At 52.1% G+C, this 27,049-nt stretch overlaps 1 long non-coding RNA gene and 2 other non-coding genes across 4 annotated transcripts, besides 9 other annotated features; all 3 read left to right on the forward strand.

The window, feature by feature from the left end:
* Positions 1-997: 997 nt before the first annotated feature.
* On the forward strand, positions 998-26,989 carry CARMN (cardiac mesoderm enhancer-associated non-coding RNA). 2 transcript variants are annotated; one of them, NR_105059.1, is made up of 6 exons: positions 998-1,231; positions 14,634-14,697; positions 15,634-15,754; positions 18,243-18,550; positions 23,036-23,192; positions 26,871-26,989. It is a non-coding gene; the product is annotated as a cardiac mesoderm enhancer-associated non-coding RNA (long non-coding RNA). The 2 variants fall into 2 exon arrangements; NR_105060.1 differs by lacking the exon at positions 14,634-14,697.
* Positions 1,487-2,487: an enhancer, noted in NCBI's record as "H3K27ac-H3K4me1 hESC enhancer chr5:148786897-148787897 (GRCh37/hg19 assembly coordinates)". NCBI's record gives its function as "activates a minimal SCP1, AML or CMV promoter by ChIP-STARR-seq in naive H9 embryonic stem cells {active_cell/tissue: H9 hESC(naive)}" and the evidence as "EXISTENCE:reporter gene assay evidence [ECO:0000049][PMID:30033119]".
* Positions 4,604-5,144: an enhancer, noted in NCBI's record as "H3K4me1 hESC enhancer chr5:148790014-148790554 (GRCh37/hg19 assembly coordinates)". NCBI's record gives its function as "activates a minimal SCP1, AML or CMV promoter by ChIP-STARR-seq in naive H9 embryonic stem cells {active_cell/tissue: H9 hESC(naive)}" and the evidence as "EXISTENCE:reporter gene assay evidence [ECO:0000049][PMID:30033119]".
* Positions 5,145-5,684: an enhancer, noted in NCBI's record as "H3K4me1 hESC enhancer chr5:148790555-148791094 (GRCh37/hg19 assembly coordinates)". NCBI's record gives its function as "activates a minimal SCP1, AML or CMV promoter by ChIP-STARR-seq in naive H9 embryonic stem cells {active_cell/tissue: H9 hESC(naive)}" and the evidence as "EXISTENCE:reporter gene assay evidence [ECO:0000049][PMID:30033119]".
* Positions 10,636-10,805: an enhancer, noted in NCBI's record as "experimental_82102 CRE fragment used in MPRA reporter constructs". NCBI's record gives its function as "activates a minimal promoter by MPRAs in K562 erythroleukemia cells, with activity observed for both the introgressed and non-introgressed 5:148796131 variant alleles {active_cell/tissue: K562}" and the evidence as "EXISTENCE:reporter gene assay evidence [ECO:0000049][PMID:34662402]".
* Positions 11,182-11,351: an enhancer, noted in NCBI's record as "experimental_82107 CRE fragment used in MPRA reporter constructs". NCBI's record gives its function as "activates a minimal promoter by MPRAs in K562 erythroleukemia cells, with activity observed for both the introgressed and non-introgressed 5:148796677 or rs76903304 variant alleles {active_cell/tissue: K562}" and the evidence as "EXISTENCE:reporter gene assay evidence [ECO:0000049][PMID:34662402]".
* Position 11,267: a transcriptional cis regulatory region, noted in NCBI's record as "Neanderthal adaptively introgressed variant 5:148796677 (GRCh37/hg19 assembly coordinates) or rs76903304 in the experimental_82107 CRE". NCBI's record gives its function as "modulates activity of the experimental_82107 enhancer by MPRAs in K562 erythroleukemia cells {active_cell/tissue: K562}" and the evidence as "EXISTENCE:reporter gene assay evidence [ECO:0000049][PMID:34662402]".
* Positions 16,283-19,666: an enhancer, noted in NCBI's record as "VISTA enhancer hs1752". NCBI's record gives its function as "enhancer in: heart[5/6] | other[4/6] | liver[4/6]" and the evidence as "EXISTENCE:transgenic organism evidence [ECO:0001131][PMID:17130149]".
* Positions 16,334-17,125: an enhancer, noted in NCBI's record as "H3K27ac-H3K4me1 hESC enhancer chr5:148801744-148802535 (GRCh37/hg19 assembly coordinates)". NCBI's record gives its function as "activates a minimal SCP1, AML or CMV promoter by ChIP-STARR-seq in naive H9 embryonic stem cells {active_cell/tissue: H9 hESC(naive)}" and the evidence as "EXISTENCE:reporter gene assay evidence [ECO:0000049][PMID:30033119]".
* MIR143 (microRNA 143) lies at positions 23,071-23,176 on the forward strand. Its single transcript, NR_029684.1, has one exon. It is a non-coding gene; the product is annotated as a microRNA 143 (primary transcript).
* On the forward strand, positions 24,799-24,886 carry MIR145 (microRNA 145). The gene has a single exon (NR_029686.1). It is a non-coding gene; the product is annotated as a microRNA 145 (primary transcript).
* Positions 25,139-25,433: an enhancer, noted in NCBI's record as "tiled region #1487; HepG2 Activating non-DNase unmatched - State 1:Tss". NCBI's record gives its function as "activates a minimal TATA promoter and a strong SV40 promoter by Sharpr-MPRA in HepG2 cells {active_cell/tissue: HepG2}" and the evidence as "EXISTENCE:reporter gene assay evidence [ECO:0000049][PMID:27701403]".
* Positions 26,990-27,049: the final 60 nt, after the last annotated feature.

Here is a 27,049-nt window from a genome sequence, read left to right on the forward strand (position 1 = left end):
GGACATGTAAGATAGGCACATGCGTGGCGAGTCCGAAGCGGGAAGCAAGCAGAGGGTGTGACAGAATACTGAGGGGGCCAGGGAATGGCTCTTCCAGAGGAGACTTCTGAGTGGGAGACAGGAGCAGGGGAAGGAGCAGCATGAGCTCTGGGAAGAAGGCATTTTTGGCAGCGAGCAATGCAAGTGCAAAAGCCCTGAGGCATGAAAAACACTAAAGAATCTGTAGGAGGCCAAGGTGGCCAAGCAAAAGGAGAAAGAGGGACTCCGGCAAGAGATGGGCATTTCTCAGGACTGCGGTGGCAGGGAAAAGAGAGCCCCCTGAAGGACATTCCACATTCAAACCCCTGCCCTGTGGTGACCCTGCCAGGTGGCTGGGTCAGGATCTTCCCTGTCAGGCCCAGGCCTCGTTTGCATGATGATGGGAGTAGCTTCCCACGGTCTGGGCTCTCCTTCCCCATGTTCTCCTGTTCCCCCAATTCCCATCACCCAGATTCCAGGAGCCAGGACTGGTGTCTCCCCTACTGGAGGTTCCCAGAAAGTCTCAGAACTCCCACTGCAGTCCTGGGACACAGGGGCTGGGGGAGGAAGGAAATTCTCACACAGCTTTCTCCCAGGGAGTTTGCTCTTGTTCCCAGGCTGACAACTGGCAACCCTCAGAACTCTGTTCCCCACCCCCTTCCTCCTCCTCCTCCTCCTCCTCCTCCTCCTCCTCCTCCTCCTCTCCCTGCCTCCCTCTCTCCCCTGCCCCCCTTCTCAGGCTTAATGACTTCCACATGGGCCTCTGGTGGCTGGAGCCAAGGCTCCCAGCATTGTCTGAAATCTCCAAATTTAGAAGAAATATGAAAATTGTCAACCACTCCTTCCTTAGGGGGTAAAAGCAACATTCAGCACCGGGGGCAGGTCAAGGCAAGGTAGTCACGTGGGGGGTGCCTGGGCCAATGGGGGGCCCTGGGAGGGCTCAGCACCCGCCTCGCCCCAATACGGGGCTTGCCTCTTCAGCTCATATAAGGTAAAAGGCAGAGTGGCCTCTGTGGCCAGGGAGCCGCAGGCAAGGGACTAAGGGGAGGGGGGCTCAGTGCCAGCTGCTTAAAAATGCCCCTGTGGCAGCGAGGGGCACCAGAGGCTGGGTCTAATTAGTTGAGAAGCAGTGACACCCCCAACCACTCCCCAAACAGGCTGGCTCCCGTCTCCAGGCCCCAAGGAGCCACACCTGGACCAGACCCCAGGAAAGGTAAGCACCAACGGCAGACCTGGGATCCGTGGGTGGGGGCCTCTGGGAATTTCCCTAGGGGGATGCTGCATCTGGGGGTCTTGCTGTCTTGCTAACTGGCTCTGTCCCTTTCTGGACACAGATTCTCTGGGTCTCAGTTTCCCCATCTGTACAGGGGCTGGAGTCAATGATCTCTAAGCATCCATCCAGCTGATCGGCTCTAGTTCTATGGTCCTGTTGGCTTCTAGGATTCCTTGTTGTTGTAGTCAATTGGGGGAAGAAGGTGCAGAGGGAGTGCACAGAGTTAACATCCTATCAGCCCAAGCTTCACCTCGGCACCCGAGTCTCAGGCAGTCTCCCTGGCTTCTACATAGGCAGTGCTTCTTCCTCATTGTGTGGGGCTTTGATTTTGTAATTCCAAGAGCCTGGGGCTCCTGGCAAGGAAAATGGTTTTCAAATAATGGTTTCGAGAAACAAAGCTGGGGAAGAGGCAATGTAAGCTCAGGCTCTGGCAGGCAGGCAGAGATCCTGGGAAGGCTGGGTGCTGACTGCACATGGAGCAATGGGAAGGGATGCTGGTGAGAGGAGACGGGGGCACTTAAGCTCCGGCCCCAGCTCTGCTCTCAGTGCCCGGCTCTGTGGTCTTGGGCTGGCCCCCTCCCTTCTCTGGGCCATAGTTTTCCCATCTGTATAGCAAGGCCATTGGACAAAATGGTCCCTCTGCAGATGTGGCTTCTGAGTTGTTTGTGCCTGAGGGACAGCCAGTGTTGGGAAGTTCCCCCAGGAGGTCCCTGAGCCGAGTCTGAACTTTGACCACAAGCTTGGAGTCCAAGCAGATGAAGTCCTGTGGGAGCTTTTGGAGGTTGAGCCTGAGTGAGGGAGAGTAGCTGAAGGTTCTGTGACTGAAGGCTTGGCCAGAGGGGTGCCCCGAGCCCTCCAGATGAACTTGGCTGCAACCAGCCTCTGGTGGGGAAAGGACTGATCTCTGGATTCAACCACACAGGAATGTGGGACATGGAAGTAGGTAAGGGATGGAAAAGATGGCAGAGGGCTTCGCGGGATGAAGCAGTGGGGCCAGGGGACTTAGAGGAATGCAGGAGGCTTGTGATGGGAGGCAGGGCTGGGTAGAGGCAGGGGCTTAGGATTGGAACTTGAAGATGTACAGACAGCATGGAGTCGGGCTCCTCTGAAAACACTCTGGCCACATCCGGAGCCCAGAACAGAACAGTCCTCTAGCACCGGCCTCTGTCTTGTACCCTCCACCTTCCCGCTTCTTGTCACACAAGACCCAAGGCCATCATGGTTCAGAAGGAGGCTCTGAATTCAACTGCCTGGGTCCAATTCTGGCTTGTTTACTTACTGGACAAGTGACCCTGGGCAAGTTGCTTGCTGTTTGAGCCTCAGCTTCCTCCTCTGTAAAATGGGTACAATTCTGAGCTTGCATGGTTGTCATGAGGAGTGAGGGATGTAGGCACATAGAGCAGGATGAATGGGGCTGATGTTACATCGCAGTCAGAGCCCACACCTCCTGCGGGCAAGATACCCTGAGCTATGTTGAGGGAGAAGTGGGAATGAAACCCGGCCAGGGAATGCCCAGAGTTGCTGAAGAGCTCTGGAACAGGCTCTGGAAAGAGGCAGGAGGAATCAAAAGTCAGAGGCTGTGGGACACAGGAAAGTGATCAGCTTGAGATGCCTGAAGGACTGGGGGGGATCTCCTTTCCTGCCTTTCTAGGGCATTGTGTGGGCAATGTATCTGAACCACTGTGCACTCACCCACTGACGGGGGACCCCAAGTGAGGCCTAGGAATCTGCATTACAAGCACCCCATGAATTCCCATGCATGTGGAAGTTTGCGAAATGCCAGGCTGTAGGGCGGCCTAGGACTCTCACAAACTGCCGAGGCAACGGAATCCACAGAGAGAAAGCACTGCTTTAGGTTATTTAGCGAGCTGATGGCAGAGGTGGAACAGAACCTGCCTCTCTGCCCAGCCAGGGATTCCATAAGGTGGTGCAAATCAGGAGAAATAGATGACACTATTTGTGGAGTTCTTATGAGGTCCAGGCACTACCTCAGATCTTCACATGAACTAATTCATTTAATCCTCACAAGAGCCAGTGAGGAAGGGGCAATTATTATCCCCACTCCACAGATGAGGTACCTGAGGCAAAGAGAGTTTAGGTGGCTTGCCTGAGGTCACACAGCTCATGAGTTGTTAAGTTGTGTGTGCCAGCTGCCCCTGGGGCTGCTAACTCCCCCAGGAGTCTCCCACCTCCTGCCCTGCCTCTTAGCTACCTCAAAACTTCCTGGAGACCCTCCAACAGACCTCATGGAAGGGGGCAGAATATGTATGGGAGACTTCTGGGAGTCAGACACTGTGCTGAACAGCTTGCATTATCATTTAATCCTCCCAGGATTCCTGTGAGGCAGGAATCAGCATCATTCCATCACCCTCACTTTCTAGAGAAGGAAACCACTGCAGATTACCCAATGTCACGCAATTAAAAAGTGGTGAAGGGGATTTGAACCTAGTCTATGCATCTGCAGAACGCACACTCTTGGGCTGCCCACCCCGACACCTCTGAGGGCAGTGATGAAGAATCCCACCTCACAGAGGAGACGGAGGCCAGGAGTGAGGCCCTGCCGGAGCCTGAGCCCAAGCCTTCTAGCTCTGAGGCCACTGCTCTCCCTTCAACCCTGTTGCTGCCCCGCAACAGAAAGTTTGTCATTGGTCCCTCACAGCCACACCACAGCCCTTTGGGCAAAATCAGCCCCTTCCCAGCCTGGCCAGTTCTGGGGGAAAATGACACCTGACACCTGACACCTATCCATTTTTTTTTTTTTTTTTGAAATGAGGTCTCCCTCTGTCAACCAGGCTGGAGTGCAGTGACTCTTCTCAATTGACTGCAACCTCTGCTTCCCAGGCTCAAGTGATCCTTCCACCTCAGCCTCCCAAGTAGCTGGGATTACAGATGTGTGCCACATCTGGCTAATTTTTTGTGTTTTTTTGTAGAGACAGGGTTTCGCCATGTTATCCAGGCTGGCCTCAAACTCCTGGGCTCAAGTGATCCCCCAGCCTCAGCCTCCCAAAGTGCTAGGATTACAGGCATGGGCCACTGCACTCAGCCAACACCTATCCTTGAGGAATAGAAAGATCCAGGCTCCACACCACACACCATCACTGACTCAAGTGGCTGTTCTGATTCCCAGCTGAGCCTGAGGGGTTCGGGGAGGTAATCTCTGAGGTCCTCACTGCTGGGCCGTGCCTGGGCATGGCCTCTTCCTGCAATTTTCCAACTAAACTCTCCGGGGGGGCTCAGCGCCATGGGGTGGTTCGAAGAACCATGATGAAGGCTGGTTCGAATTGTGATGACCATTTTTGTCCACATCTCCTAGGACCCATAAGCCAGAGTTTCTCTGGAGCTTATAGCTAGAAGGGGTTCTGGGTCCTGGAGTGCAGGCCTGTCAACTTTACAGGAGAGCACTAGATTGCTTTCTGAAGTGGCTGAACCAGGTTATGCTTCCATCAGCTGTGTATGAGCATCCCCATCTTCTTGACCACACTTGAAGCCATCAGTTTCCTTGAAGCATATGGGTTGCACACTTCATTTTGCATGTATCAAGTTTATATAATAAAAAATGTAAGGAAGCCATGGAAATAAAAACGTAGGTGTGCCTTCTGTAGGCTGCTACGCTCCTGTGCACGAGGGCGTCTAGAACTTTGCCCTCCATGCACAAGTTGCAGAGCACCCTCATCAGGACATTTACGAAGGCCCTGGGGTGGGATGGGCACTGCCTATGTGGCCCTCCCCCAGCCCAGCAGTATGCAGTGGCCCGGGTCCAATCAAAGGTCGCCTGGGAGGGTGAGTTGCAAGAATCTGGGGAAAAGAGCCCAAGGTGGCTGCCGCCTGCTAACAGCTTGTCTAGACAGGCCCCATGGGGCTTCACCGCACATTGCGAGAGCTCTGGCCAGCCCCCTGCCCACTTGCAAAAGAGGCTGTTGGCAGCAACACTTCACCACTAGAAACCTTTACTCCAATTCGAAACATGCCTTAACGCACAGTGTGAATTACCCACTCTCGTGGCCCACAGAGGTTGACTCATTCAGGCCCCCTTTTGTTCAGATGAGGAAACTGAGGCTGACTCCGAAGCCTGGGGGCTTTCAGATGTGGAGTGGGTCCCTGTGCCCAGGTGATGAGGGGACCAGGCGGGTCTGGAGCAGGGCTGGAGTGGGGCTCAGATGTAGTAGGCTGGCAGTTAAAGGTGCCAGATGTGAGCCAGGCTGCTGGGTTTGAATCCTGGAGCTGCCTCATAGCAGCAGTAGGACTTTGGGTAACTTACATAGGTGCTGTATGCCTCAGTGACCTCATCTGTAATATAGAGATGATAAGAGTACCTGTCTCATTGGTCTACTGAGTTGTCCGGATTAACTCATTAAATGAGTTAAAACTCATGAAGCCCTTGGAACTGTGACTGACACATAGTAAGTACTCAATAAAAAATAACTGCTAAGACCAGCCACAGTGGCTCACACCTGTAATCTGAGCATTCTGGGAGGCCAAGGCGGAAGAATCCCTTGAGCCCAGTATTTCAAGACCAGCCTAAAGGTCAACATAGGCAGACTCTGTCTCTACTATACATTTTTAGATTAAATTTTTATAATAATAATAACCACTAAAATGTGATTACTAAAGACAGCTTCTTCACAGTACAAAGAGATGCTCTTCTGAGTACCAACTCTTTGGAGGATAAACTGCCCTTATACCTTCAAAAATAACACTTGCCATATATCAAGTCCTTTCAAGTACCTGGAGATTTACCCAGCACTCTGAGATAAATACCATTATCCCTCTGGGCACACAGAGGCTCAGAGAGGTTTAGTCATTTGCCCAAAGTCACACAGCCTGTACGAGGCCAGGCTGGGACTCAAACTCAGTTCTGACTGATTCTAAAATCATGTGTTTAACTGCTGCACTCTAGGACCACCCGCAATGGATCTGTGAACCAGAACCAGCTCTGGTTCTGACCTGCCTAGTAGGGCCTTTGGCATTTGGGGGAGGAGGCCATTGGAAGTCCGAAGCCCCCTTCCAGATTAGGCATGATTGCAGTAAGAGAAGAGACAGACCCTTTGGCCCCCCACCCCTGCTCAGGCTCAAAAATGCAGACCCTGCCGAAACAGTCCTTCTCACCCAGAAGCACCCCATAGGGTGGGCTGAGTAACCTTGGGGGCCTCGTCAGTCTTGGGCTGCCCCATGCCCTGCACAGCCCGCCTGAGGTTTGAGGAAGGGGCAGTTGGCTAGGCCCAGACTGGAGAAAGCCACCCCACCATGGCTCTTCTGCAAGAACCCCCGGCCAGCCACAAGCCTAAGCCCCCTCCTTAAAAGCTCCTCCTCTGACCTTAGCTGTGCATCAAGGGAGAAAAGAAAGCTCCAGGCCGGGTGCGGTGGCTCACACCTGCAATCCCAGCACTTTGGGAGACCAAGGCTGGCAGATCATTAGGTCAGGAGTTCGAGACCAGCCTGGCCAGCAAGGTGAAACCCCATCTCTACTAAAATTACAAAAAATTAGTCAGGCATGGTGACACGTGCCTGTAGTCCCAGCTACTCTGGAGGCTGAGGCAGGAGAATTGCTTGAACCCAGGAGGCGAAGGTTGCAGTAAACCAAGATCACGCCACTACACTCCAGCCTGGGCGACAGAGCAAGACTCTGTCTCAAAAAGAAAAAAAAAAAGAAAGCTCCAAACTGCTCTGCTGCCACATACTCTACTCCTCCTGTCCCTCCAAGGAGGCAGGGATGGGGGTGGAGTGTCTAGAGGGAGGCTGCCTGCTGGCCTGGGGAGGGATCCACAGAGGCTATGACACCACCCCTGGCTGGGCTACTGGGCTCAGAGGCCCCCGGTCAGCCTGCCCAGAGCCTGCCAGCCACCAGGCATGTGACCCAACAACCCCGATGAGCTGAGCAAGGCAGGGTGAAGGAGAAAGAGGCTGGCTAGGACCAGGCCCTGGCTCTGCAGCCAGCACAACTGGGTAACTGTCCCACTCCTCTGGGGCCTCAGGCCATAATGTTCCCTGGTTTGGGACAGAGGGGACAGTTGAGGTCATTCCATGTGTGATAGTAGACACCTGGATTCTCAGAGAGGGAAAATCTAAGGAGCTGGGGGCGCGCCCTGGATAGACAGAGAAGAAGACGGCATTCCAGGTGGAGAGCTCTGTGTACAAAGGTATGGAGGCAGGATTGCAGAGGCATTTTCAGACAACAGCAGAGAAGCCCAGTTGGCTGGAACCGAGAGTTGGTCTGAAGCTCAGTGAGGCTGGAGGTTGGCGAAGCAGAGAAGGCCTAGAGTGTGCGGTGGCTTTGGCAACAGAAACCAAAGCCTCAGAGCTTGGGAAAAGTTCTCCTTGGTATCTGTCTGTCCCTGGGAGGGGGTGCCTTTCTTTAGCCTATTTGTCCCCCTCCCCAAAATACCATCAGCCAAGAACCCCAGTGCAGGGCAGAGACCTAGGAATTTGGATAATGGGCAACTCTGAGATGTCAGGCAATGGGGAAAGGAGAGCTCAGGTGGGACTAGGAGGGGTAGGAAGCCCGAGGGCTGCAGTCACCATCTTCAGACCACTCCAGAGCTTCCTGGGGAGCAGGAACAGAGGACAGGCCATGAAGCCCAGAAAGGCAGATGGCAGCAGAATACTAGGAAGACACCTCCAATAGTCTGTCCAAAGAGGGTGAGGGGATTAGGAAGTACAGACATATCCTGAGTTACAATTTTCTATTTTAAAATGCTATGAAAGCTATATGCATTTGGTACCCTCCTCAACTTATGACGCAGTTGTGATGGGGTTATAAGGTTACTTCGGATAAACCAACTCTATATTGAAAATATCGCAAGTCAAAAATACACGTTCGGGCCAGGCGCGGTGGCTCACACCTGTCATCCCAGCAGTTTGGGAGGCCGAGGCGAGCAGATCAGGAGTTGAGGAGTTCAGGAGTTCAAGACCAGCCTGGCCAACGTGGCAAATACCCATCTCTACTAAAAAAAAAAAAAAAATTACAAAAATTAGCCGGGCGTACTGGCGCACGCCTGTGATCCCAGCTACTCGGGAGGCTGAGACATGAAAATTGCTTGAACCTGGGAGGTGGAGGTTGCAGTGAACTGAGATTGCACCACTGCACCCCAGCCTGGGCAACAGGGCAAAACTCTGTCTCAAAAAATAAACAGAAAAAGCACATTCAACTTACAATATTTTCCATTGACGATGAGTTTATCAGGAAGTAACTTAAGGAACATCTGTAGTGAGCTCCTCATCACCAGAGGTATGTAAGCTTAGTACAGACACCATAGAGAGAAGCCAAACATCAGAAAAGGTTGGGCATCATGGCCTTTCCTACCACCAGCCTCGGATCTCACATGCCAGCTCTAACTGCTTTAGGACAATCATGAGCTGAGCCTTCCTGCAGCCTGGATGTCAGATTCCCAGCCAGACATGACATCAGTTCTGCCCTGACTTTGCACAAGGGCCTCTTGGACCTCCTACCTCCTACCTCCCACTTCCTTTCCACTGCTGCCTCCTGCCTTCCCAGGGGACACCAGGCCTGACCAAAGAGACTTGGAGCCTGGTTGTGAGATGGAGTTCCCCGGGGAACATTCAGCTGATGGCCTTCTGCCCGGCAGGAATGAGACAAAGGGGGCCAGGGACCCTGGGAGCCCTGTTCACACGCTCCAGAGAGTCTGCGTGGAAATTCCAGGAGGGTCACAGGAAAGCTTCAGATTTAGAACCACAGTGCTTTATTTTTTTCCCCTTTTCTCTTCTGTTCCATCCTTTCCCTCATGGTCGGTGGGGGTGTCATAGAAGTCTGGGAAAGGAAAGCAAGCATCCTCTTGGGCTGAGTCACAGAAAGAGCATGGAGAGACGGAGGGTATGGGGTAGATTGGGAGGCCCACCAGACAGGGCTTGGGGCAGTGGACAGCAGTGTGGGAGAGGATGGAGAGGACCAAGAAGTCAAGGGCATGGCCAAACCGCCTGTGAGGGTCCTGGAGCAGTGGGCAACTACATCGCCTGGGCCAGCAGCCTTCCCTAGATGCTCAAGACCAGAGCTGCCAGAACCTGGGTTCAAGCTGGGGTCAGAGAGTCAGCCCAGGGCTTTCTAGAATAAAGACAGAAGGATCTTGGAAATGGGGCTTCCAGGAATCTCAGGCAATGTGCCCCCACCTCACACTGACTGCAGAGCTCAGTCATACAATATCCATCTCATTCCCTCTGGCGCCCCTGGTAGATGATTAATAAATATTCCTGGTGTTAAATCCCATACTCATTGCATCATAGTCCTTTTAGAGCTGAGGGACCTTAAAGAGCATCAGGGCCTATCTCCTCATGTTATAGATGCAGAAACTGAGGCCCAATGACAGGGAGAGACTTGCCAAAATATGCTGCCAGAGTGACCACATCCTTTGCTTCTTCTCTGCCTTCTAGCCAAAGATGGAGACTATGGTACACTCTTCACAGCCAAGGGCAGGGGACAGAGGAGAGGCGGTGCCCAGGCAGGATGCAACTATCTCCAAGAGATAGTTAGAGGATGGCAGCCTATCTTGAGTTCTGGCTGCTCTGCCCAGGAGGTCCCTTTGAATGGCCAGAGATGGTCTCCAATGCTGTTGGCCTCCTGCAGAAGAAAGAGCCCAAGGCTGGGAATGGAAACCCTTGGTTCTATTCCTGGCTGTGCCCTAACTCTTCATATGACCTTCAACGCGACCTTGAACATGCAGCTTCCTCTGGCCTCAGTGTGTCCAGCGAGAGGCTAGACCCGGCCAGGCCTGGTGGCTCACTCCTATAATCCCAGCACTTTGGGAGGCCAAGGCAGGCGGATCATGAGGTCAGGAGTTTGAGACGAGCCTGACCAACTTGGTGAAACCCCCTCCACTAAAAATACAAAAAATTAGCCAGGTGTGGTGGTGCATGCCTGTAATCCCAGCTACTCAGGAGGCTAAGGCAGGAGAATCACTTGAACCCAGGAGGTGGAGGTTGCAGTGAGCCAAGATCGCGCCACTGCACTCCAGCCTGGGTGACAGAGCAAGACTCTTTCCAAAAAAAAAAGAGTCTAGACCCAACCAGCTGGGCAGTAGGGGATTCCAGCCATGATCTCCTGTCTCCTGCAAGGACTCCTCTCCATCAGTCTCAGTCCATTCTAGATTTTACCTGCCCAGCTCAGCACAGGAAGTGAGCCAGGCACAGAAAGAAAATAGCAGCTCTTGGATTCCCCTTCACCTCATAGCAGCATCTTCTATGCCCAGGCTTTGCTTTCTAGCTATGAAATTCCCAGAGAGACAAAAAGCTAAGAAAACCCTTAAGATCACCCCAGTAAGGAAAGCTGAGACCAGAGAGGGTCCACAGATGGCTCAAGGTCACACAGCAAACTGGGAATGGGCCTTGGGTTTCCTGGCTCCCAACAGTGTTCTTGCCACTGACCACACTGCTCTCCAGAATAACAGGCACATAAGCTGTCCTCGTGTGGACCCCGGCATCGATTTAGCTTGGTGGCTTACACCCCCACACAGGGAGCTATAATCTCTTCCCCTGGCTGGGACTCAGTTTCTTCTTCTATAAAACAGAGACAGCCAGGTGCGGTGGCTCATGCTTGTAATCCCAGCACTTTGGGAGGCCAAGGAGGGCGGATCACCTGAGGTCAGGAGTTCAAGACCAGCCCGGCCAACATGGCGAAACCCTGTCTGTACTAAAATTAGCCAGGCGTGGTGGCAGGCGCCTGTAATGCCAACTACTCAGGAGGCTGAGGCAAGAGAATTGCTAGAACCTGGGAGGCGGAGGTCGCAGTGAGCTGAGATCGCGCCACTGCACTCCAGCCTGGGGGACAAAGTGAGACTCCGTCTCGAAAACAAAACAAAACAAAACAAAATAAAACAGAGACACAGCGTGGACCAAATGTCTCTAGACTTTCTGCCATAACACTAAGGATCTACCAGGACCCCAGTGCTTTCCTGGGAGGCCCATGCCAACACCTACCTCAGCCCTATCTTCCCCAAGGGTAGGGCCACTCAGGCCAGGAAATCCCACTAAGTCTTCCCCCCTCATTCAGCCCTGTCCCACCCCAGACCCTGAGGCTGGACTTCATCCAGAATTACAGGCTCCAGCCTAGCTCCCCCTCTGAGGATCTGGACTTTTTCTTACCATAAAAGGGCAAGCGTGCCTCTCTTGGTCCCTGCTGCCAACCCTGCTAGGGGAAAGACTGAGCTATTTTTAGAAAACTCAAGGGTTTGCTCCTGAACTCAAGAGGGGCGTCTCTGCGCCTGCACCCTGAGAGCCCCCTCCCCATCTTTCTTCCTCCTCCTTCTCCCATCGCTCTCTCCTTTCCCTTTCTCTTCCTCTCTGTCTTGCTGTCAGTCTCACTCCATCCATCTCTCTTCCATTTTCGCTCCCTCTCCTCCCATCTCACATCGCTGTTCTGTCTTCCTTCCCCCTCACTTCTTCCTTCTCCCAAAATCTTTTCATAGTCAGCTTCCCTCCCCCACTTCTCTCCCTCAGATCTCGTTTCTGGTGGTGGAAGAAAGTAACACATCTGCACTCCCACCCCTTCTTAAGCACTATTTACAACATAAATTCCAAACATCCGCCATCTGGTTCTAGGAAGGGCCAAAAGATATTTGGAGAAGGAAGTCATGATTATTCCATCTTCAAAGCAAAAGGAACTTAAAGGCTCTCTTCTCTCCACCTTCCTCCCGAGGCCCCTTTGTTTAGTATTTGGCCGATCAGGATCCCCCAGTGAGCAGAAGAGGTCAGGACATTTGCTGGAGTCCCAGCTGGACCTGTGACTGGCTAAATCACTTTGAGTTCCTTGCTTCTCCTCTCCATGCCTCAGTTTCCTCATCTGAACAATGGGTGCAAGACTAGAGTGCTTCCAGCACTGATGTTCCAAGACTTCAAGTCCTGGTGCAGAAAATCCATCTGGTCCAGGTCACTGGGGCCTACTTTGGGGCTGAGAAATGAAGGGTAGGATGGGGGCAAGGGAGTGGGAGGCAATGAGGGAGTGCCATCCTCATTCCTTGATGCACCAGTTTCTCTCTCGCTCCATGGAGATCTATGCCGGCCATTCACCGGCATTCACACCCACATTCACACCGAGGAATGGGGTGGGGTCAGATTGTCCCTCCGTGTCTGATCTAGAAGGACTCTGGACACTCTAGAGTCCAGTCGTGTCCCCACCACATCATGTAGGTGTGGGCCCTTGAGGCTCAGAGAGGGGAATACCCTTGTCCACAATCACACAGCAAATCTACAGAAAACCGGGTACCTAGCCTGCTGCTCCTCCCACCCAACACATTCCAGAAGAAACCAACATTTGTATTTTCTAGAAAGCATTGCCTAGTCCCAGCGAAGCCCCTGGAACCCTGGAGGTCCATGCTCTTTGCAAAGCTTATAGGACAGAGGGAGAACCAATGCCTTTTTTTTTTTTTTTTTGAGACAGAGTCTCATTCTGTCACCCAGTCTGTAGTGCAGTGGTGTGATCTCGGCTCACTGCAACTTCCGTAACCCAGGGATTCAAGCAATTCTCCTGCCTCAGCCTCCCAAGTAGCTGGGATTACAGGTACGCACCGCTGCGCCCAGCTAATTTTTGTATTTTTAGTAGAGATAGGGTTTCGCCGTGTTGCCCAGGCTGGTCTCAAACTTCTGACCTCAGGTGATCCACCAGCCTTGGCCTCCCAAAGTGCTGGGATTACAGTTGTCAGCCACTGCACCCCGCCGAGAACCAATGCCTTTAACATGATGTGAATTTCTTTTAACAAGCAGCACAGAAGAGAAAAATACCACAGGAAAGAGGCAGAACACCACCACCAAAAGGAGAAGCCCCCTTGCTTCTGGAGACAGATGGCTTTCCAGGGTTCAGATGGTCTTCACTTATACTAACAATGCTTTCTCTGTTCACAAACCCCTCTCCAGAAAGACTAACACACACCTAAATATTGCCAAGAGATAATGACTCCGGTTATCACTCTGTAAAAATGATACGATGAGCAGTTGGTCTTACAAGGGAGCCGTGAGAATGTGTGTGGGGCTGCCTGGAGCCAATCTTTACTAGCTGTGTAACCAGGAGGGAGTGCTGTGACCACTGGCGCCTCAGTAAAGTGGAGATAAGAATGGTACCTAATTCTTCAAAACAAGGATCTCTGAGTAAAGAAAAGAAAAATTAAAAGAATGGTACCTAATTCAGCCAGGCACAGTGGCTCATGCCTCTAATCCCAGTGCTTCAGGAGGACAAGGCAGGAGGATCACTTGAAGCCAGGAGTTCACGACCAGCCTGGGCAACATAGCAAGACCCCATCTCTACAAAAAATTAACAAATAAAAAATTAGCTGGGCATGGTGGCATGTGACTGTGGTCCCAGCTGCTCAGGAGGCTGAGGCAGGAGGATCGCTTGAGCCAGGAGTTCAAGGTTACAGTGAGCTGGCTGTGCCACTGCACTCCAGCCTGGGCAATAGGTGTTGCCCTGGAAAGCAAGGTCCTGGAGAGTGAGACCCTGTCTCTTTAAAAAAAAAAAAAAGAAAAGAAAATTATTGGTACTTAACTCATAAGTGACTTTGAGGATCAGATGAGAAAAGCTGTGTAAAATAAAGCACTTGGCAAGTGTGGGGTGCATCAGAAGCACCCAATGACATGTGAGCTCTCATTATGATTACAGCGTGTCCCAATGTGCCTATTGCACAGTCAGCCGGACAGGTGATGGTTCTTACCTTTGTCACTCTTTTCCCAGTTTCTGCCCTCACCGAGGGGCCAAGTGACAGAGACTCACAGGGATCCTGGTGTCTATGCCCCACCTGCCCGCAGGGCCTGAGCTGCTCGAGGCAAGGCTTGGGATTCTAGGCTGGGCAGGTCTTTTTTTTTTCCTCTCTTCCCTTTTCCCTGCAATGCTCTTGTTTCAGCCTCAAACTGCGTTCCCAGAGCTTGCTCAAAACTCCCCAGAGCGACCCTCCCTGGGGAGGAAGTGGGGAGCGTGTGAGGTTGGTGAACTCAGCTGGGGTGTCAAGGGGGTGGGAGGGCACTCTGGGAACAGAGGCCCAGGGAAGCTGTGCGACAAAGGGGACATGGAAAGGGCCACGCAAGGGCTCCCACAGCTTCCCCAGATGCCTCTTCAGACCTTTGCTCTCTCCCTGCTTCTGCTGTTCCTCCCATGGTTGGGCTTTGCTATGGCCCCAGCCCCATGCTAATAATAGAAATGGCAGCCATTTATCATAGGTTTATGATGTGCCTGGAAATATGCTCGCACTTGACATCTGCCTCATTTGACCTTCACAAACAAGGCTGTGAGGTCGGAAACAGGCTCAGAGAGGTGAAGACACCGGCTTTAGATCACACAGCCAGGAAGTGCTAGAGGCGAGATTCAAACACAGGTCTGCATGACTCCAAGGCCTGTGTCTTTTCTTTCCAGACATGTGGTGGAAACCCTACGGCCCTGGAGCCCAAGGAGAGCAACGGCTGTAACAAGTGCACAGGTTTGAGTGCGCTGAGACAGGGGAACCGTGGGCAAAGAGGTCCCTCCAGAAAGAGCTGGGTGTGAGCATGGGTTCGTGAGCTTGCCTGGAGCCCTGGCCTCAGCCCTCTCTCACTGAGGTGCCATCTGGCTCGCAGATGTGGCCCATTCCCAGCCCCTCGTGTTTCTTGGAAATGAGAAAGTCCAGGAAAGGGCACAGGGGCTTTCGCAACGACCGTGGCGATGATAGCTTTGACGTGTGGTCATCCAGCCGGCCACTGCCCACACCCAAGAGAAAGCTGGATTGAGCATCAGGAGCCTGGGTTCAAGTCTGCCTCTCAAGCTGTTCCACAGGTGACCCTGGGCAAATCGCACAGGCTCCTGGAACTTCAGAAAGGGGAAGAATTATTCCTGCCTCTGGCGACATCAGCGAATGTGCCTTGAGTTACGGGAGTGTTTTGAAGGCTGAAAGCTTTGTGTACACGGAAGGGGTCAAAGACAGCCACAAGCCTGTCCCTTTGGTCTTGGTCATCATGTTAACCCCAGGTTTCGATTTAATCCTACATGCTCCTTTCTTATGTGTGAGGCTGAGGTGGGGGCATTGGTCAGAGGAGCCTCTGGGAAATTTCCTTTCAGGACAGTTCTTTTGTTAAGGGGCCTGGGTGTGCTGAGAAGGGAAGGTGGCTCCTCCTGCTCTTGGAGCTTGGAGTTTCTCACAAGCTCTCCCTTAAAAGCCAGGCAGGCCAAGAAGGGATAATGGCTGCTCAGGGCCCAAGGGGCAGGATCTCTGAGGCCCGGAAGATCTCAGTAGGTTTAGCCCAAGAGTATCCAGAAGTGGCCCAGGCCCATTCTCCATCCCTCAGAGCCTGGCAGCCTGGTCAGGACCCTCAAAGGCCATGACCGTACCCGTAGGGCACCCTGGTGTCCTTCTGACAGGTGGGATCTTTGTTTCTTACAGGCAAGGGCGCTAGCTGGTGGGAGCCACCCCGCCATGCTGATGTCAGAGAAGCAAGAACTCTGGAGAAGCAGCCTCCTGGGACCAGAGGAGGGCCAGCAGCAGGCAGCCCGGAGACAGAACTGTGAGCCCACCCCACCTCCACCCTTCCGGCACCCACATCCGCTCCCCACCCCAGCCCACCTGCAGGTGGCTCCTGGAGTATCCTGGGTCCCTCAGGATAAACTCCCCACCCTAACCTCAGAATGACCAAGAAACTGGGCCTGAGGATGACAAGAAGCAGAATGGGCCTTGGTAAAGGAAGACCCCCCACTGATTGGTGGCAGTGCGGGCAGTTCAGGGCTGTCAGCGTCTGGGTTGTAGGTAAAAAGAAATGGAACCCAAGAAGGGAAATCCAACTAGGAGCCAAGAATCCGGTCTACCCCATCCTCCTTACGAAATAGCAATGCAAAGCCCGTGTGATTTGGACATAAAGCCTCTGTTACTCAACTTGATTCGGTGAATAACAGACTTGAAAGAAATGTGGAAAATAATAGTAATCTTCCCTAGAAAGGAGTAAACAGGGTTGAGCTCCCAAAGCAGGAAGACCTGGGGCTGTGTGATCTTGGACGAGTCACTCAACCTCTCTGAGCCTAGTGATAAAGAGCCAGCTCATAGGGCTTTGAGAGGATTTGTGAGGTTGGGCTGGTGTCCCCAGGCACAGCCCTTGGCACATAGTGAAACTCAAGAAAACAGAGCAGTTTTTACCATTCATCACATTATTCCCACACTTGCCAATTTTTTAAGTTCATGCACATGGTGGAACAGGTAGGGTGAGGTGCCAGCTCCATAAGATGAGTGGAGAAACTGAGGCCTGGAGAGGTGAAAGCATTCACTCAGAGTTGCATGTAGAGTCAGTTGCAAAGGAGAATTCTGGCACCAGTTCTCATGTGGATGGAAAAAGTGCAGGAAGATTTGGAGGTGAGCAGAGGAGAAGGGAGGAGGAGGCCGGGTTCCAGGAAAGGAGCTGACATCCAGGGATGTGGGACAAGGCCCAGGCCTGTCTTACATAACATGGTCCACCTGTTCACCCCTGCAGGCCCCACAAATGTGTGCAAACGTGCACCCCGGCACAGCGCACACCCAGTCCTCCCTCACTGGCAAATAAGCCACAGAGACTGGGTTTAAACAAATTGGATTAGGAGGGCTACAGGCGCCTCCTCCCCCCGACTGTCCGGCTCCGACACTAAACAGACCTGCAGAACTGCCAGCTGTGGTCTCTCGGACACACTGACAGTCGGTCCTTGGCTCCCTCACCCCACCCGTGGGCCTCAGGAAGGGGGTTGGGGTCTGAGAGGATGCCACAGTGATGGATGGGGTGAGGGAGGTTCCAGGGCTAGCTCAACAGCGCACAGGATGTTAGTGCTTTTGCGAGGCACATTTCCGAGCTGTTCCCAGACCCGCCCCCACTTCCCCCCTCACCCTCCCCTCCGGCAGCCTCTCCCATGGCCACTGCTGCGGGCTGTGAGCAGAGCCCCGTCCTTGAGCAGATTGACCTCATCTTTCAGTCCTGCAGCTGGGCTGAGCGGGGAGTCAGCTCAGAAGACACTGGCCTGGGGATGAGACTCGGGGCATGCTTCAGAGGGAAGAAAGAGCTTCTGAACAGACAATGCTGTCTTAAAGGTGGCATCTTGGTGCTTTCTCATGCCTTGTTTTCTTTCATCCTCAGAATGTGTCTGGGGGTGAGAGGACGGGTGTGACTGCTGAAACTTCCTTTCTTGGTGATTCCACATCACTCCTTTCTGATCCCTGAGCCTGTGCCACGCCCTGTGTGATGTGCCGGGGACACCAGGGTGAATACTTACAGGCCCTGTTCCCCTTCCTTCATGAAACAGCCTCCTTCGGGCTGGGTCACTGGGCACTGGGGCCTCCCTGGTCTTCCAGGATTGCAACTTCACAGAATCCCTTTTCCATAAGGCACATGAAAGTGACTGTGACCCGCAACGGGAGCCTTGACAACCAGCCAATTCAGAACACAGACCTTGACATCGGAAGGCCCCGAGTTCAAATCCTGCCTTGCTCCCTTTCAGCTGGAAAGCTGTGGTCAAATTACTTAGCCTCTCCAAGCCAGTTTTCCCTTCTGCAAAATGAGGTTACACAAGCTGCCACCTCACAGAATGAGTGTGAGAATTAATTCTTATTTTCCACACCCTCATTTGACAGGGGGAGAAACAGAAGCCCAGAGAGGGAAAGGGCTTGGTTAGGATCACACCATGAGTTGGGGGTTAAGTCAGGATGGGGTAGGTCCCCTCTTTCTCTGGGTGTTCCTCTCCCCCATCCCTTATCTCAACATAAATCCTCCCCAGTTGCCCAGGTTGTCCAGGCGATTCCTGGCACACGTCCTGGGGCCTGCCCTCCACCTTTAGCCCTGCTCTGGCTTCTGCAGCAGCAGAGTCCTGGGTGACCAGCAGTGGCCCCTGGCCCTCTGAGTGGTGGTGGAGGGTGGGGGTGCACTGCAGCAAGCTCCCAGCCCAGAGCAGCCTGGCCATATAAGGGAAGGAGCTCAGGGAGGCCTCCTGGCTCAGGCCTGGCGAGAAAACCCAGACAGCCACTGTTTATTTTCTCCTCCCCAGCTCACCCACGCCTCTCCAAGCCTCCCAACAGAAGACAGAGGTCCCCCACAGCCAGAGACATTTCCTGAAGACATGGGGAACACAGAGGCAGAAACAGCCCATCCACCCAGGAGCTGTCCCCCACACTGCCGGGAGCCGGCACCCAGAGCCGCCAGGTAAAACTGAGGCCACCTGGTTCAACATCACCTTTCACAGAAGGGGAAGCAGCCACAGAAAGAAGGGCCTCGTTAAGAAGTGGAACCTGGGACCCCCAAGCGGTGTCTCTCATCCTGACTGGGGATCCAGAGTAGGAGGGAGCCTTTGGTGGGGTAAGTGGAATGGGGCGGGGTGGGGGGTGGCCATAGACCCCTCTTCTCAGTAAGGCCCTCATGTGAAGGAGGCAGGGGTTGGGACAAGTGCTAAGTATGCAAGACTCAAGGGAAGAGCTGCTGGAGCCAGGAGAAGCACCTCCCTCCCGGCCCCTCTGCCCCTCCTCATAGCCCAGCTGCACTGACTCCTCCTCCAGGAAGCCTTCTCAGCTTCCCCAGGGGTGGGAACCTTTTTGTCCTCCAGGTGTGCTTGGCTGTCCTTTCTTGGGCTCTCTCTCTCTCTCTCTCCTCATCCCACTTGAGTCTGCCCCCTATTCACCTTGTGAGGGGAATTTTCCTTCTACTCAATCTGACCGAGGTCCTCCAGGTCAAGGACAGCGAGGCTCTCAGTCCCACTTCCCCTTGGCACATAGAAGAGGCAGTGCGCTGAAGGGACAGGTGAAATGATTAGACCCTGCCCCCAAACCAAGGCCTGGCCAATTGGACAGGGCATGAGACATTCAGCGTAGAGGTTAAAACGAGGGCCCTGGGTTAGGAACCCCAGCTCAGTTCTCAGCTCTGTACCCTTGGAAAATTCCCTTCCCATGGAGCTTTGTGGATGCACAAGGACTTGCACAAAGAAAACATTCAATATCCAGGACTATAAAATTCCACAAATGATTGTGCTTATTACATTCATTATCACGATGATTATTCCAGACACAAAGGAACAGAACGAGGCACCAACAGCAAGGGGCAAGCAGATTCAAGGGCCACAGAGGAGATGGAGGCAAACACCTTCCCCTGGTCAGAGGCTGTGCCTCAGCCCTTCTCCCTGCATCAGTTTCTCCTTCAGAAGCATGGGACTACCTCCCATCTAGTTCTCGTTTCTAAACCTAGGGGAGATGCTATCTTTGCTGCAATAATCTTAGCCTACATCTTGGAATGGAAATGGCCTTGGTGGAAATGGTCTTCAACTCCTCTGGTCCAAGCTCAGGCCCTGTGACCCTGGAACAATCCCCTTCCTGGTCCTCCATGTAGGAGCAATAACATTCCCTTGCCAGCAGCACCAGCCATTCTGATGATTAAATGGTATCGGACTCTGTTTTCCAAACTCAGTCATTCAGATGCCCCCTATTTTATTTCTTCCATGTCTGCAAATGATTATAATATTTTTAAATGTAGGATGAGTCCTTTTTATTACACATAGAAATAGCTACTGTAAATAGCAAACTCTAACACTGTGCCTAATTAGGAAATAAAGGTAACCATAAATACAGTAAAAATGAAACAATGTTATTATGGTTTAACCTGATAGTGTGGCTTGCAAGGCCCTGGGCCTGAAGCCTGGGCAATAAGTGAGAGTTAGAAAGGTGTCAAAGACATGATAGCAGCAAACTGAGGCTTTGTACCCCACGGTAAATAGGACTGAAAGCAAATTCACAGGGAGCAACTGATCCATTCCACAACAGAATGCTCCCTGTCAATTCGCTTTCCATTCTGTTGTGTCCTGTCTCCCAGCAGAGACTACAAACTCCCCAAAACCACTTACCCACCAGCTGCACGTGAGAAGCCAAAGGTAGTTTATGTGAAAGGGCTTTGGAAATAATCACGCACCAAGTGAAGGCAGAGGACACACCTTGTCAGCTTAGTTCTCAGCAGCAAATCATCTCTTTTCCAGGATAACCCTCCCTGATTCTTATTGAAATCTCTTTGCTGACCACACTAAGCTCTTCTCTCTCAGGGGCAGTGGGAGCCGTGGAGAGTGGAATAGACCAGCTGTCTGTGACCTGCGAGGGAGTCCAATGTCGGAATCACTCCCCAGCCAAATGCACGGTTTTAAAAAATCTATTTATTTATTTATGTAGAGACCAGGCTATGAGACTGGCTAATTTTTCGTATTTTTGGATAGAGACAGGATTTCATCGTGTTGCCCAGGCTGGTCTTGAACTCCTGGGCTCAAGCGATCCACCTGCCTCGGCTTCCCAAAGTGCTCAGGATTACAGGCGTGAGCCACTGTGCCCAGCCACCAAATGCAGTTGAAAAGAGTTTCTGCAAGATAATTCCACAGAAGAGGAAAGCAGTTATCTGGCTGGGAATACCTTAGACAGAGGCTGTCCTCTACACAGGCTGTCAGAACTGACCTACTGACCTGCCTGCTGGCATGATAGACCAGAGGGAAACACTCTTTCCACTCTTCCCAGACTGAGTGTAAGAGACAGACTTTTTTTTTTTTTTTTGAGACGGAGTCTCACTCTGTCACCCAGGCTGGAGTGCAATGGCAAGATCTCGGCTCACTGCAACCTCCACCTCCCCGGGTTCAAACCATTCTCCTGCCTCAGCCTCCCAGGTAGCTGGGATTACAGGCTCCCGCCACCACGCCTGGCTAATTTTTGTATTTTTAGTAGAGACAGGGTTTCACCATGTTGGCCGGGCTGGTCTCGAACTCCCAACCTCAGGTGATCCGCCTACCTTGGCCTCCCAAAGGGTTGGGATTACAGGTGTAAGCCACTGCTCCCAGCCTTTTTTTTTTTTTTTATTAGAGACAAGGGCTCCCCATGTTGCCCAGGCTGATCTTGAACTCTAGGCTCAAGCGATCCTCCTGCCTGAGCCTCCCAAAGTGCTAGGATTACAGGCATGAGCACTGCTCCCAGCTCTGTTTTTGTTTTTTTAAGGAGGTATATTTTTTCTGTTCTCTCTCAGCCCTGAAGAAAGGCTACCCATCCCCTTCAGACATTCCTGAAAATATATGTCATCCAACATCAAGGCCACCACAGTGACCACTAAGCAATGCAAGAAGGTCCTCTGGGGTGCCCTGAGATCTTGGCAGGGCAGGAAGAGTGAGAAGGGGCTTTGCCTGCTCACCTGAAAGTTCCCACCCAAGCCGGGCCCAGAAAACAAAATGAATTATCTACATGGTCATCCAATCAGCCACCAAATGGCATTACCTAGGTCCATCATCATGTACCAAGCCACAGGTCAGACCCAGGGCCCCCCAAATTAACAAGACACAGGCACTGTCCTCAGGAAGTGGAGATCTAGCCAGGTCAGACCCACACACAAATAACACTGATACTAGAGATAATGAGATTGGGAATTATGATTCAGCCATTCAACCTGGGCTTATGTGGCATCTACACCACCTGGCCCTGATTTCAGTAGTGAGCACAGTTGACAGGGTCCCTTCCCTTCACAGGTGAGCCATGTAGTCCACAAGTGGAGGTGGTCGTAAGTGAAAACCACATTACCAGCATGGTAAAGGGTTAGAAAGAGGGCACCGGGTGGGCGAGAACATGAAGCAGGGGGTGCTGATGGCTAAAGAAGTAAAGGAGGGGCTGGGCACTGTGGTTCATGCCTATAATCCCAGCACTTTGGGAGACCAAGGCGGGTGGATCACCTGAGGTCAGGAGTTCTAGACCAGCCTGGGCAACGTGGTGAAACCCTGTCTCTACTAAAAATACAAAAATTAGCCAGGCATGGTGGTGCACGCCTGTAGTCCCAGCTACTTGGGAGGCTGGGGCATGAGAATTGCTTTAACCCGGAAGGTGGAGTTTGCAGTGAGCCGAGATCGTGTCACTGCACTCCAGCCTGGGCGACAGAGGGAGACTCTGTCTCAAAAAAAAAAAAAAGTCAAGGAGGGTTTCCCAGAGTGGCCACTTGATTAGAGACCTAGCACAGGAGGAAGAGATGGGCAGGGAGAGTGACGGGGAGCAGCACAGTCCCTGGGAGCCCGAAGTGGGTGGGCACAGGGCTCCCTAGGAGAATGGAAGGACATCTATGAGCTGTAGCCCAAGAGGAAGAGGTCACTGGGGCTAGATGCGGCAGACCCTCGCAGGCTTTGGGAAGGGCTTCAGAATTCAGCCTGAGGGCAATGGGGAGCCCTTTTGGGATATTAAACTTGAGTAAGATATGAGCATATTTGCATCTTGAAAAATCATTATGGGAAGATGGCTGGGAAGAGAGGAGGAGTGGCAGAAGAAAGATAGGTTGGAGACAATTGATTGCTCGATGATATAAAATGTTAAGTACCATGAATGATGCTGTTAGGCTGGAATGCGCCAAGCATAAAGGTGGGGCATGGCATCAAAAGGTAGGTCAACATATTAAATAATTCCATGTATTGAAATATCCAGAAAATATATAGACAGATCTATAGAGATAGAAACTGGTCTGCCCAGGACTAGGGGTTGTCTAAGGATAAGGAGCTTCTTTTTTGGATGGTGAAATAACCTAAAATATATTGTGCCATTGTTTGCACAACTTTGTGAATATATTAAAAACCTGTTAATTGTACTCACTAAATGTCCTCCTTCTAAATTAAGCTGTTCTTGACAAGAAAAGGAAAGAAACAAAGAAAAGAAGAGAAAAAAGGTCAAGGTTTGGTCCTGGGTGCTCAAATGGCAGGCCACAGACAGGAAACACAGTTGTGAGGAATTACAACAGCCTCCCGGCCAGAGCTGGAGAGGTGGAGCCCAGGTCCCCTCTAACACCCCTTCTCCTGGCCAGGTTGGAGTCCCGCCACAGGCCACCAGAGCGGAGCAGCGCAGCGCCCTGTCTCCCAGCCTGAGGTGCAGTGCTGCATCTCTGGTCAGTTGGGAGTCTGAGATGAAGCACTGTAGCTCAGGAAGAGAGAAGTTGTTCTGCAGCCATCAGCCTGGAAGTGGTAAGTGCTGGGGGGTTGTGGGGGGCCATAACAGGAAGGACAGAGTGTTTCCAGACTCCATACTATCAGCCACTTGTGATGCTGGGGAAGTTCCTCTACACAAGTTCCCCTGGTGCCACGATCTGCTTCACGAGTCTGGGCATGTCCTGACTCCTCTGTGTACCCCAGTGTGTCCATCTTAGCATGAGGCGTTAGCATTTCCCCAGCACCCTGCCTCTGCTTTCTCTTTCTGAGCCCATGGCAGACACAGCTAATCAGTAAAGGCATATATTCTTTTTTTTTTGAGACACAGTCTCACTCCATCACCCAGGCTGGAGTGCAGTGGCATAATCTCAGCTCACTGCAACCTCCTCCTCCCAGGGTCAAGCAATTCTCGTGCCTCAGCCTCCCAAGTAGCTGAGATTACAGGTGTGCGCCACCACACCTGGCTAATTTTTGTATTTTTAGTAGAGATGGGGTTTCACTATGTTGGCCAGGCTGGTCTCAAACTCCTGACTTCAGGTGATCTGCCCGCCTCGGCCTCCCAAAGTGCTGGGATTACAGGCATGAGCCTCCACGCCCCGCCAGGCATCCATTCTTGAAGTGCTCAGATGCAGCTTCAGAATCCTCAACAATGAGCCCTGGAAAGCCACTAGTACTGATTCACAGCTGAAACTCATTCATCATTTGTGGATCAAACAATTCCTAAAAACCCTTTCAGCCCTGAAGATAAAAATTCTGGCCTTTGAGTCAGGGTCTTCACTCTGTACTTCTAACCTTGGCTCCGGGGTATTGCCGAAACCAGTCCAGGCACGTCACAAATGTCTGACTTCTCCCAGAGGCTTCAGAAGCACAATGAGCAGCAGAGGAGAGCCATGGAGCCAAGCACAGTCTCATTTAACCTCCCCAAAAGCTTGGGAAGTGGGTGGTGTTATAGCCCCATTTTACAGATGAGAAAAACTGAGGCTTATTTAAGCAGCTCACCTAAAGTCACATATTGATTGTGCTGAGCTGAGATTGTACCCTAATCTGCCTTCAAATCCATGTTTTTACCCATTGCATGTGATTATGGAACCTGGGACCGAGGAGCAGGAGGAGAACATTCTAAATTCTGCTCCCATCTTGTCTTTACATCTCAGGTCACTTTTAGCAAAGACAGACCCGGACACTTGCCATTAATACTACAGGCTTCCTTCCTCCTACCCCCTTCCCCCAATCTTATTCATCTCACCTCTCCAGTAGGTCGTGGACTCATGCATTTTATAATTAAAGAAGGCCAAGGCTCAGGGGTTAAGTGACTTACTGGAGGTTATCAGAGAGGAAGTTGCCAAACCCAGGCTAGGAACTGAATGGTTGGTTTAAATCCACCCCTCTGGCAGGAGACTGGGGAATACACATGAGCCGTGCAGACAGCAGAGGGCAGTCCTGGGGGTGGGGGCGCCAGAGGGTTTCCGGTACTTTTCAGGGCAATTGAAGTTCCGGTCACTACTCCCCCCCAGAGCAATAAGCCACATCCGGCGACGTGTGGCACCCCACCCTGGCTGCTACAGATGGGGCTGGATGCAGAAGAGAACTCCAGCTGGTCCTTAGGGACACGGCGGCCTTGGCGCTGAAGGCCACTCGCTCCCACCTTGTCCTCACGGTCCAGTTTTCCCAGGAATCCCTTAGATGCTAAGATGGGGATTCCTGGAAATACTGTTCTTGAGGTCATGGTTTCACAGCTGGATTTGCCTCCTTCCCACCCCACAGTTGCCCCCCAATGGGGCCTCGGCTGGCTCACAGGATGAGGGTTCAAGAAGAAGGCTGTCCCTGGAGGTAAGAGGGCTTATGAACCATGTTCCAAACCTTTGCGTTGCTTTTCTTTCCATCGTGTCTATTTCATAACATCCCTGTGAGGCTGGATGTGGGAACTTCAGCACTGCCGTACTCTTGGGAAATTTGTCCAAGGCCACCCGGCTGAGCAGCGGTTGAACCAGGACACCATCAGGCATGCGTTTCTTGTCTCCACCACACCCTCAACCCACTTCCCAACGCGCCTTGCGACAGGGGCTGCGGTATTGCATCCACATGACTGATAAACTAGTAAACACACATGAATTCATTTTAAAAGTGTATTCAATCAGTTAGGTAAACTAAAAACCTTAAGTCTTCGTTCGATTTGGAATGCAGCCAGAGAACAAATGGAAAATTTTTCAAGGTAGAGAAGATGAAAACTCAGAACGCCCTCTTGTGGCATCTCTACCCACCCTAGGAACACTATGGCTCTTCCCCTACACATGGTGATTGCTAACCTTGCTACAAGACGTTGGACACACACACACACACACACACACACACACACACACTGAGGTTCCTTTTGCCCCCTCACTTTTGAGCCAGTGACTACTGAAACCCTCTCCATTGTTGCACCACCAGCAATGCCCCCATCACTTCCTCTCATTTACTTCCACAGGCTGGTTCATCCTCAAAGCCCTCCTTACGTAGATCTGTGGGATCAGTGAGGCTCAGAGAGGTAAAGTGGCCAGCCCAAGGTCGCCCAGACAGCAAAAGGCAGGGCCAGCGCTGATTTCAAGTCCAATGGCCTATGGCAATTTCTTAGCCAAAAGCAAAATCTACAAAAATAAAAAGTCAGGCACAGTGGTGAGTGCCTACAGTCCCAGCTACTGAGGAGGCCGACGGGGGAGGACCACTTGAGCTTGGGAGTTCCTGGCTGCAGAGAGCTATGATTGTGCCTGTGAATAGCCAATGCACTCCAGCCTGAGCAAGATAGGGAGACCCTGTCTCTAAAAAATACCTAAATAATTTTAAAAGTCAGCCTCTCTGACTGCCTATAGAGAATGCTAACTAACTGAATGACAGAAGACCTAATGTAATCCAGGTGCAAAATCAGAACTTTCCGGCCGGGCGCGGTGGCTCACACCTGTAATCCCAACACTTTGGGAGGCCCAGGCGGGTGGATCACGAGGTCAGGAGTTCAAGACCGGCCTGCCCAACATGGCAAAACCCCGTCTCTACTAAAAATACAAAAAATTAGCTGGGCATGGTGGTGGCCACCTATAATCTCAGCTACTCAGGAGGCTGAGGCAGGAGAATTGCTTGGACCCGGGAGGCAGAGGTTGCAGTGAGCTGAGATCGCGCCACTGCACTCCAGCGTGGGGGACAAAAGCGAAACTCTGTCTCAAAAAAAAAAAAATTAGAACTTTCCCCGTACTCTTGCTAGGGCTTTTCATGGAGATGTAGAAATGGTAGTAAGTGCCAAGGCCCCAGAACCCTCATGTTTGGGTCCGACTCCCACATTGCCAGAGACTAGGCAGCTCACACAGGTGTCCCAAGCTGTCTTTCTCACAGGCCGCATTGAAGGCATTTATGAAATGAGACCCCCTCTTCCTCATCCGTAGTGACAGGGCTGGCCTGACCGTGGAGAAATCAGATTTGATCATGATAGCTTCCACTCCGTGACTGGTCACGATCTGCCAGGCGCTGTGCTAAACACTTTCATAGGCCTTGTCCCCCTCCATCCTGATAACACCCCAGTGAAGCAGGCCCTGCTCTTCACTCCACTCCACAAAGCCAAGGCTGAGAGAGGTTAACAGACTTACCTAAGGTCACACAGCTAAGAAGTCGTGAAGCTGGGATCGAATCAAGTCTGTGTTTATGGGTTTAACTATCATGTTGTGGCCCCAACCCCATTTGACCTAGCCTGGCTGGTGGGCCTTCTTGCAGTAGCTTCCCCTGGAGAAGAGGAAAAGCAAACCTTCATTGAGACCCAAGCGGTCTCTCCTGTGCTCTGTGACAATAATAAAGTTCCAGCCCTTGGCTCCTGTCCTGTTTCTTTCTGGGAATTTGGGGAAGGGGGGAGGTGGCGAAGGCAGGGAAAG

Source organism: Homo sapiens, chromosome 5 (assembly GCF_000001405.40).
Source record: "Homo sapiens chromosome 5, GRCh38.p14 Primary Assembly".
NCBI classification, from domain to species: Eukaryota; Metazoa; Chordata; class Mammalia; order Primates; family Hominidae; genus Homo; species Homo sapiens.